This window comes from Homo sapiens, chromosome 1 (genome assembly GCF_000001405.40).
Source record: "Homo sapiens chromosome 1, GRCh38.p14 Primary Assembly".
Taxonomy (NCBI): domain Eukaryota; kingdom Metazoa; phylum Chordata; class Mammalia; order Primates; family Hominidae; genus Homo; species Homo sapiens.
The window spans coordinates 98,342,131-98,353,924 of record NC_000001.11 but is presented as its reverse complement, the minus strand read 5'-3'; the positions used below and the strand labels follow the sequence as shown (position 1 = coordinate 98,353,924).

The following is an 11,794-nucleotide window of genomic DNA, read 5'->3' as shown; positions in this document are numbered from 1 at the left end:
AGCATTTTCCAAAATATGTGCTACTGGGATAGAAAACAATACAAAATTGTCCTGATGTACTGTTAGACACTTGGTCAAAATTATACAATTGTTCTCAGTTTCAGATATATTCTTTCCTAAGTAAATAAATGTTTCCATGTTAACCAGGTATATTTTGTGAATCTGGCGGACAGAACTACTTAAAGTGATTGTAGTTTTGGATATCTGGTGGGGTTTTTCTCATTGACCAAATTTCTGGGAGGTAATTAGTGGGTGTGAAAGGTAAGAAACGAAGGAAAGGTGTAGTCAGCCAAAGGCTGGTTTTTATTTAGCGGGCCCTATTTTTGCCTCTTCTTTTCACACACTGCAGATCCCTAAGACAGATATAACTATACCAAAATACCTATTGTGTTTTGCAGCTGTGTGATGGATGCTTTGCTAGTTATGGATTCACAAATACCATGTCTTAGCTTAGCTAACAAGGCCTTTTTTTTTTCTTAAATGAAGCAGAATAGTTAAGTGAAAGCCCCTTAATTTGAGCATGAGTGCTCCATTCCAATTAAGCCTGAAGAATCAAAGAAAAGAGAGTTGATTTCATTTTTTTTTTTTCTAAAGTGAAAAGTAGGCAGCACACTAAAAGATGAAAATGGTACAGTGGCATCTGCAAATCACACATTTTTATTCAGAACTTAGGTTCAATGTGAAAAACCCCAAACTATGGTATGAAAAAATAAAACTTACACACAATTTATTATTGTATTAATAAATAGATGAGACAGACATTAGCCAATGCATTTTTATTTACCTTAAAATTGCAAATGCCAAAAGCCATCAATAGCACCATTTCATTATTGCCATGCTGTGCATGGCAACGTAATATCTGTGTATGATTATCATCACTTTTATTAACATTTTCTCTGACCCTGTTGATATAAAAAGCACCATTTCTAGAAACAATTTTACTATTTGAGGAATGCAAGTCTACAGTCAGCTGTTGCACACTGCGGCCTATATTGCTGACTTTGTCCTATTAATTACTGTTGGGCCTAATTAACCAAAGATATTAGTCAAGATAAGCTGGGATATGCTCGAGAAATATATTTACTCTGAGGTCTCAGACATTTTACACAGTGAGCTATATGTACAGCTCTGGTGGATGGTCAGGGGGCCACTAGGGGACCCAGACTGACCTTATTACAACTGTCTGATGCTGCCATTCCAAATTATGGCCTCTAGGACCTGCTTCTAAGCACCTCAGACCTAAGTCATGCCCACTTCCACTCCCAGCCAGAATTCATCATCCAACTTCAACCTAATTACAAGGGATGCTGGGAAAACTAGGGGAGCACATGGAATATTTAGTAAGCACTACTGTATTTGTTACACTACATTAGTCAGCTCTGTACAACGTAAGATTGACCAGATGGCAAACTTTGATTGAAATTCTTCTAAAAAAAGAATTTGAGCATGATTTCATGACAAGAGTGTTACAAAGACTCATCATTAAAAAGAGATTCCATCTAGTCTGGAGAGGCGGCGCAATGAGCATGGTTATTACAGAAGATTGATGTAAAGGGGTAGAAGAAAATGAAGTAGTTAAGGGAAGAAAGAAGAATAACAATCTAAGATTCCACACCCATGGAAGCAGGCTAAATAAACTAATTAACCAAGATGACCTTGGAAGAATAAAAATAAAACATGAAAACTAAATATAACACCTTGAGAGCTTTCGTGTTCTCATGAGGAGTTTTGACTTCACACGACGAACCTCTGAATAATTTTGAATACAGGAATAATACATGTGCAGAGGACCTAAGGCAATTCCCACTGTGGTGTTTCAAACTGAGCAAAATCAAGATTAGTATCAAAGAGATGCAATGGTCTGGAAATTTGTTGAGGATTTAAGAATAGAGAAGAAGGTGCATATTAAAACGATGAAATATAATTTCAGCAACTCAATCGATGTACATGTAATTCAAAGAGCAGAAATGAACTATGATGACCCTTAGAGTTGTTTATCATAATGTTTAAGAGTTTGACAGGAAATGGGGGAAGTGATAAATGTGCAGAACAAAGGAGAGAGAAGAGTACGAGGAAACGCATCTGCTTCTGGTCTCGAACTCCTGGGCTCAAGCGATCCTCCCACCTCAGTCATACATAGCTGGAAGTACAGGCATGTGCCATCATGCCCAGAAAATTTTTGTCATTTTTGTAGAGAAAGTCTCACTCTGTTGCCCACGCAGGTCTCAAACTCCTGGGCTCAAGCAATCCTCCTGCTTCAGACTTCCAAAGGCTGGGATTATAGGTGTGAGTCACCACACCCAGTCTGATTCTGGTCTTTTCAAACTTGAAAACAGGCATCTATATACAAAGAGGTGCAAAATATTTTTCTCTTTCTATTTTACTTTTGATCATATTAATCATGGAAATAGCAATAATTTAAATTGGTCACAAAGCTCTATAATAAATACTTAATATATATAATCTTATATTTATAACATATTATGATCCAGTTCATTATGACAAATTATGGCTTACAGATGGCAAGTAACTTACCAAGATCAATTAGCTGATAAACCGGACTTGAGTCCAGATTTATGCAAAATCAAATTGCCAATGAAACTTTGCCTCTCAAACCCTCTATTTTTCTATTTTTCATTTCTCCAATTTTTTTTACTAATTATTTTACATCTATGTATGCCATATTTCACAGTTACAAAAACCCCCTCCCCCCCAAAATTAGGATTATATTTTACAAATTAAACTTGAGAGAGATAACAAGACTATGTAAGGGGGTAAAATGTTCAGGTCCTCATTTTTCCTAATTCAGATCCTACTGGCATTTAGTAGGGAAATGAAACAAAGAATGAATGTAGCACACAATGACCTCCATATTTACCTTAGATATCAAATTATGTCTCCACAATTACTAAATAACTCATTTATAAACAAAAAGGACTACTTATCCGTTTTTTAAAAATGGCTAGTGCTGCATAATCTCTGCATGTTATCAATTCTGGAAAATGAAAAATAATAGATCATCTTGGTTTTCTAATTGTGGAGAAATTGCAGTACTTACTCTTTTTTTTCTAGTCTTGGTTACGCTTTTATATTTTCAGGCATTTGACTTGGATTTAAGTTTTCATCTCATAAATTAAGTTCTATGGAACAATATTTCATTTTATTTTCTTTTTTATTATTATACTACACAATATTACCCAGAGTATTTCAACTGCTTTACCAATTTCTCCTTGGATTCTCTTGGATATTACTTTAAAATTACTACAATTGACTTACAGACTTAGTTGAAACCCTTTCCCTGCACTCCCCAAACCCCAACTTACTTTTCCCTTCTTATTTCATGAAATTCAAAATCGATAATAACCTTGGCAAATATTATGGCATATACAATGAACAAAATATAATGAAGATAGCAGAAACACTGTTGTCAGTGCACTTTCTAATGCCTGTACTACAGCAAGATGTTTGGAAACCCCAAAGAGCAGCAGTGATTTTACAAGCAGGTTACAATTTTTATTGACCTCCATCTTCAGTCCAATATCTTTGTTCTAAAGAGTGGAACTAGCCCTTATAAAATAAAATTTCTTCATGTTAGGAATCCCAGCTGCCTTGTTTTCCCCAACTAAGTTATGTGTAAAACATAAAGAGAATTCTTAGATCTGCTGGGACAGAGGGTTGCTAGGGTGACTGTTAAAGAAACTGAGCCTGACACTATGAGAGATCAATAAGGAAAGGAAGGCACTAGGAGCTAAAGTTAGAATTATTAAATCTTTGGACAAGACCTTTTTTCTCTAAAGCTTAGAGACCTAATTGGTTTTCTTGGTTTTATCTTTCAGCAATGGTTACCTAACATACAGACACCCCTTTTCAGATCATACACTTGTTATCTCTCTTCTTTCTTCACACTTCTTCAAGACAGACATGAGACAAGTAAAAATTCATAACCAAGAAAGAGGTGCTGCTTTTGGCAGTCATATTCCATAGTTCACATTATCTCATTATTGGTCCCCAAATTTCTCTCTGCTTATTTTTCCCCATTACCCCTGCAAGAAGAAGAGAAATGGCCCATAACCTTCAAACTGAAACCTCCTCCCACTAAAGAGATATCCCTACCTACATAAATAATAATGAACTGCAACTGGAAAACATCATAAAAATGTAGTAAAAGTGTATTTCTCACTCTACATAGTGGTCTCACATAGGAAGAAAGAAGAAGAGGAAAGGAAATAAGGAGAAGGCATGCATGCCTTTTAAAACCTCTGACCTAGAAGTGACACATCCAAAATCCATTGATAACTTATTATTTGGCCATAACCAAATACAAGGGTGGGGAGAGGACTGGAGATTATAATTCCTGATTGGGTAGCAGCATTATAGCAACAAATGTACAGTAAAGAGTCTATAATGAAGATCCTATACCATGAACAGAAGAACAGAAATGTTGATGGATAGTTGGCTATTTACAACACTATTTAAATGTTGACATCAATATAATATAATAAATGTGCAATGATATATCTAATGTTATGCTATTGTTTGGCTGATTTATTTCCCTTGGTTGATTAAACCAATGGTTTATTGATTGTGTGCTTATGATGTGGCCAGACATTATTCTTGGTGTTGGAGATACAGTAGTGAATAAAATAGACAAAAATTGCATCCCTTATGAAACCTACATCTTAAGAATGGTAAGTCAGAAACTAAGAAAAATCTATACTAAATTCTATAATATAATTAAAGAGACTAGTGCCAAAAAGCAAAATAAAACTGAGGAAAGGGATAGGAAATGTGAGAAGTGAGATTTCAAGGATGGTCACGGAGGACTATTGAGAAGGTGATATTTGGATAGACCTGAATGTGCTTAGGGAGAGAGCCACTCAGGAGCATTTCAAGTAGATGTAGAAGTTCAGCTGGCATGTACATGGAGCAGAAATTTTTGTGGCTACAGTAAATAAGGAGAGCATTAGGAGGTGAATTCATGAAAGTAATGAAGGAAGGGAAGATCACACAATCTTGCACCCTATATAAAGGCTTTGTATTTCACTCTAGAGTAAGAAATTTATTTAAGGTTTTGATCTGAAAAGTGGCATATTCTGCTTTTACATTTTAACGCACTCACTCTAGCTACAGAGTTGAAAATAGACTAAAACAAATGCAAGAGTAGAAGCCCATAGAACAGTTAGGAGGCCATTAAATAATTCAGGTAGGCAATACTGGTAACTTAGAACAAGTTGCTAGCTAGAGGATGCTGAGACATCATTACATTCTGGATACATTTCAAAGTAGAGCCAGGACGATTTGCTGAGAAACTGGACGTGGGCATGAAGGAAATGTAAGGGTCAAAATGACTGTAAGATTTTTTGATCTAAACAACAGGGAGGTTGCTGTTGCCATTAAGAAATGGAGGAAGACTTTGAATCAGGTTTGAGGAGGGATATAAAGAGTACTATTTTGAACAAGTTGAGTGGAGATGCTTATTTATCCTTAAAGTGGAAATGTAGGCTAAGAAATTGGATATAGAAATCTGAAGTTGGCCAGTTGCAGTGGCTCACACCTGTAATCCCAGCACTTTGGGAGACCGAGGCTGGTGGATCATGAGGTCAAGAGATCAAGATCATCCTGGCCAACATGGTGAAACCCCATCTCTACTAAAAATACAAAAATTACCTGGGCTTGGTGGTTTGCACTTGTAGTCCCAGCTACTTGGGAGGCTGAGGCAGGAGAATCACTTGAACCCAAGAGGCAGAGGTTGCAGTGAGCCAAGATCGTGCCGCTGCACTCCAGCCTGGCGACAGAGCAAGACTCTGTCTCAAAAAAAAAAAAAAAAAAAAAAAAGAGAGAGAGAGAGAGAAATCTAAAGTTTAGGAGAGAAGAACTACAGATATAAATTTGGGAATTTACAGCTTATACAAGACATTTAAATCCATGAGACTGGATGGGATCACCAAAAGGGTGACTGTTAAAGGAGGATGTCCCAGGGATAAGCAGTGGAGCATACATACCAATGTTAACAGATTGGGGGATAGTTAAGGAGACGTTTGTCTTATTTCATTCTTCACATCTGGAAAAGTAGACTAAAGGTCAACTAAGGTTCCCAGCATCACAGTCAATAGGCCTATCCTGGAAGATAACTCAGAACAATCATAGTTAAGAAAAATAAATGGATTGTATGCATTGTTTTAGCAAACCTATAAGTGCTAGAATGCATACAATTAATTATAGATACATATTTTCTTAGACTTCATTTCACATGAAGAATTCAGAGTTCTGACAAATTATCATTTTCAATGAACTTAAATGTTAATTCATTCTTAAAACAGGAAATAGGGGGTTTCCCAACATTAGCTTCCGACCATAAAATAGGCAAATTTCCACAAGTTCAGGGCTAAATCACAGCTATTTGCTGGGATGCCATAATCTGAATTAAGAAGGTATTTAAATGGAGTAGGTTTTCCAAGTAGAGATACCAGCATAAAATAACTATAAATTTCCAGTCTAAAAACTTCAAGTTTAAGAGTTCTATTAACTCTTCAGCCTACCAAATTCTATCTTCTCTTCCTAAATAACAAATTATCTCTAGTTTCCATTCTACCTCTAATTAATGGAATTTTAAGCCAGCCATACTCATATGGAAAATACTGTGGAAATTAAATTAAAAACGAGGATACTAATAATCACTAAAATTTTCAAAAGAGACTGGGAAGAGTACACAACAATCATAGTATTATTATAGCTAATACTTAAATAATTGTTTCTATGTATTAGGGACTTTTCATAACACTTGATAGCTATTTAATATAATATCATAATAATCCTACACAGCAGGTATGATTATAATCTTTCTTTTACTGATGAAGAAACTCAGGCACAGAGAGGTGTAGTAACCTGCCTAAAGTCTCACAGCTAATTAAAAAAAATCAAGATCTGGACCCAGGCGCTCTTGCCCCCAAATCTTTGCTTTTATCCACCATGCTATGATTACATCATCATCAAATTTTTTCATTATTTTATTTACTGCTCAACGTTATGTTGTTCTTTGACCTATTTATTTCTATCTGTTGATTAAACCAAAGATTTTCTTAGAAGAATTTTGGCATTTTTGTCATTCACTGTCACAACAAATAGGCCCACTCACCATCATTGATTAACTTCACTCACTCGTTCAATTAAAAAATACTAAATATCCAATTTATGTCAGAAATTAACTTAGGTTCTAGGTTTTATTGGTCAAAAGAGTGAAAAGGAGTATTGGGCATGTAAATTTGATTAGAATTTAATTTGATAAGTGATATAGATCTGCACTGGATCCTATGGGAGCAAGAGGAAGAGGATCAGGAAAAAAATTATTCTAATTCCAAACTTACAACAGGGTTAGTAGCCAGTCATTTGATGAAGAAGGAAACAAGATGGACAGGCAGGTGTAATTGTGTGAGCAAAGATATGGAGACACAAATGAAGGAGAAATCTCAAGTAGTTCAACTTTTATTCATATTTCAAAATTATTGAGGACCCAATAGGTGCCACAGACTGCCCTAAATGCCAAGAATTCAAAGAATAAGACATAGACATCATCCTCAGGAAAGGGTAAGCCTGAAAAAAGCAAATTTTTTTTTGCATAAATTGCTTAAGACCTTTATGATCATTGCTGTTTAATTCTAGTTTCTCATGAGTAGCAAAAATCAGTATATCCTAATACTTGGGGACTGTAGTCTCTGTTTAGAGGATATTTCCATTTCCACATAATGGTCTTCCCTCACAAGAAGAAGGAACTTAACTTGCAGGGCCCTATGTCCCTGGCTATGAAGCTCTGATTTTATCCTAATGGCAAGGGAGTCTTTGAAGGCCTTAAATCTGAGACTGACATGAGATGGAAATGTCCCATGCTTCATGCGTTTTAATGTGCTGCTTCTCCAGCTATAATGTCTCTTTTAAAAGGAGTTTAAATCCTGAAAAATGGATAATAGAATCATAAAACAGTAAACCTCATATAGCAATTTACCATAAAGCAGAAGCTTCGATATAAAATGATGAAAGATAAAGTAGGCATATAAGTTACCCTTAAAATCTGTGCCGAATAAATTTAAAATACTAGAATTTCAGATGCAGAGAATAACAATTGTGTTTGCTAGCCAGAGTCTGCTTTGGTTCATTTGAGGAAAGCATGTCAGTCACTCTTAATGGTCTCTGCAAAACCCTAACCATGTCTTTGCCAAGACTCTCGTGTAATAGTTACATGATAAGCCCCAATGTGCTTCACAGTAAATCAGAGAGTTCCACAGCTAAGTTACATGATAAGCCTTGCTATATTGAACAGTAAATCATGGAATTCCTCAATAAAGTTACACACTAAAACTCTCTAGCTTATTTATTTATTTTTTCTTTATAGTATTATCTCCCAGTGGTGGATAAAGGTCAGCAACGTGCCTTCTGCTGAGCTACTTTCCTTTATCCCTTCTGCATACACATTTCCAGAGAATGCTTCAAGTCCCTCCCATCACAGCTAGAAAACGGTGAATATAAAACTTGACAGAAACCCCAAAAGATCTCAGAACTGGAATCTCTATCAATAGATGGATGAGGATAGGAATGTAGGATGCAGAAGCGGTATGTGATGTGAGAACTCCATGACAGAGAAGGAGCAAATCTATGAAACCTTCATATACCATTTGCTCATGAAGAATCAATGGATCATAGGTAGTAGTGACATCAATAAAATTTCTCTAATGGTAATTTAATGATTATAAACTATTACATTAACAAGATGCAGTTGTGTTTCCCTAAAGGCATTATGAATATTATTTAATGCACACCTGCAGATACCCAGTACTTTATCCAGCTATGACAGGGTACTAATGGAGCCTGGGAGTAAAGAGTAATCATAGTCTGTCCTCTCCCCGCTGCTCCTCCCCAGGAAACAGAGTCATGTGTAGAAATAACAAATTATGCTACTCGGTAACAGGAAACAGGAGGTGGTCTTCATGATTCACTAGTCAGGAATCTATAGACTAGGAAGACCTTTTATCACAAAAGTCTGTGTACCCCTCAAGACAGATTTCCTTCTATTCAAGTTTAGTTATACATAACTGGCATGCACAAATATGGCAGCCTAAAATAAATACAGCATACTGAGGTATGAAATGGCTAACTAGTGTATGCTCAAACCTAAGTCTCAAATACAAGCACCGATTTTAAAAATTAAACATGACATCTAGCTTATCAGAAAAGATTTGCAAGCAGAGTAGTACATTGGCTGCTCATATTACTAAAACTTTATTACTGTAGAAAGTAGCCTACAGTACACTTATAAGGATGCTATTATCATAAATAATTGAACTCAAACAATGGTGAAAATAAATAACCAGAGTACATTTTGTACTTTAACAATCTTCTTTTGACTGTGGTTGTTTGAGGACCATTGGGGATGTGTGTGTGTGTGGAGGCGGGGTGGTTAATTCTTATTTACTTAAGTGCTAATTCCCTTAAATTGGTAACCCACAATTTTTTCTCCCAGTTGTCAATTAAATTTAATAAGGACATATTGTATGGGCATTGATCTTATGCAAAATACTACACTATTAGTACAACAATACAAGAAAAAAATTAGTAAGAATTACAAGTTTCAAAATTTCAATTTTAAGCACATTTTACCTAGTACAAATGTATGTATGTTTTTTTCTATTATTTATCAACATGCCTCAAAAATTCAGTCAATTTAAGTGTGGGTCTTAAGGCTTATTTCCAAGCTTCAAAAAGCTTATACTGTGTTTTTCTTCCAAAAAAAAAAAGCTTTATTCCAATGATCCCTAAACAGAAAGCATTGTGATTAGGAGACATGCATTAGCATAAAAATTCAGCATTAATTATATGTTTCTCTGATTTTCTAGAGGGATGGATGCATGGATGGATGGTTAGATAAGTAGATGGATAGATAAATATTTACAATTTTTTTTAAAACACAAAAATACGTAAAAGGAAATATGTGCCATTTGTTGGGCATTTAATGAGTCAAGATCTGAGCTACTTGTATTTAATACACGTATTTTTTTTAATCCTCATGACCACACTTTGGTTACATTTTCGCACATGGTCAAACTGAGGTTCAGGAAATTAATTTTCCTAAGCTCATGTAGTTAATAAGAATCAGAGCAAGGATTTAAACTTAGATTTACCTGGTTACCAAGCCTGTGTCTTTCCTCTACACTGTACTTTCTTACACTTTCAAATGTGAGAGTAGATCAAATTGCACAGAGATTGGCCAGGGCCTCCCGTTGCCTGTCTGGTGAAGAGATGAGTAGGAAGAAAGGTTAATTCACTTTCCTTTATATAATGGGCTGGCTTCTTCAAATTACATCAAAAAAAAGGGTAGAGTCGGGGAGTGGTTACTTGGTGCTGCTATGTAATAGTCACTCCAAACAGAAAGCTTGTAGTGGGTAAGAAAAAACAAACAAAAACAAAACACAAAAAAGCAATACAACATATGAACTTTTTCTAATTTTATAATTTAGAAAAGTACTTTCCAATTAATATCTTTTCAGAGAGTGATATTTAGAGTTTTCAGATTATCCATATTCAGATTGAGATTTTCTTAACCATGTGACTGGGATGAGAATAGGAGCGAAAAGGTGAAATATGTGGAAATTGTTTCTTCAGAAATTTAAATTTGTGTGTGTTGTGTTGTTTACTCATCCACATTCAAAGCAGATTTTTCTTTTCATGCACCGCTAGTTCAAAAATAGCCTTCATCAGGACACTCCTGGGATTGGCCTAGAATGCATTTTTTTTTTTTTTTTTGTCAACGTTCTTAGCCATCTCTGGAACTTGGAAAGGAAGGCTAGTAGATTTTTTTTATCTTAAATCTAATTATTCTTCTCATTGAAACCTCATAAGCTTAGTGAATGTCTCACAGCCTCTGATGATGTCTGACTACCAGGGAGTCATTACACCACTCGCAAGTCTTGGCAATGCAATGAGAATCCTGTCTAGCAGGAGGGGTAACATGAGGTGAAGGGAGAGTATGACCCTGTCCCCCAACATTAGGAATTAGGTCCGGGGGTAGCACTGATTGGTTTGTGCTTCAAAATGAGCAATGTCTTAAAGGGTAGATTGTTTCATTGAGTAGAATGAAGAATTTTTTCTGACCAGTGCCAAATGGAATGCTCCCTGTATTGAAGAAAGTGAACTTGATGCTATCTAGGGAAAGAAGAGTATTCATGCAAGATCCTGAGCTGTGGTCACAGGAGGCAAAAAGGGAAACCAGTGAGTGTCTCTGTCAGGTGAAGGGAGTTACTATTTGACAACATCAATGCAGGCAAGCACCTTTTGGGCAGTGCTCAATGTGACAATGCTGAATGCCTAGGGACAATCAGGTTTCCTGGTAAGTATGCATTCTCCAGAATGCTTTTAGAAGCATATCAGCCAGAATTGTTTTTAAATTTAATTTAATTTTTTTTTTTTTTTGAGACAGAGTTTCACTCTTGTCTCCCAGGCTGGAGTTCAGTGGCGTGATCTCAGCTCACTGCAACCTCCATCCCCCGGGTTCAAGGGATTCTCCTGCCTCAGCCTCCCGAGTAGCTGGGAATACAGGTGCCCGCCACCACACCCAGCTAATTTTTTGTATTTCTAGTAGAGATGGGGTTTCGGCATGTTGGTCAGGCTGGTATTGAACTCCAGACCTCAGGTGATCTGCCCGCCTCGGCCTCCCAAAGTGCTGGGATAGCAGGCGTGAACCACCATACCCAGCCCAGAAAGTTTTAATGTTAAAATTTCCCTCCAAGCCAAACTAAGTCTTTGTATA

The 11,794-nt window shown here is 36.2% G+C and overlaps 1 annotated feature.

The window, feature by feature from the left end:
- Positions 1,658–2,857: an enhancer, noted in NCBI's record as "MED14-independent group 3 enhancer chr1:98816624-98817823 (GRCh37/hg19 assembly coordinates)". NCBI's record gives its function as "activates an origin of replication core promoter dependent on BRD2, BRD4, P300/CBP and CDK7 cofactors, and independent of MED14, by STARR-seq in HCT116 cells {active_cell/tissue: HCT116}" and the evidence as "EXISTENCE:reporter gene assay evidence [ECO:0000049][PMID:35650434]".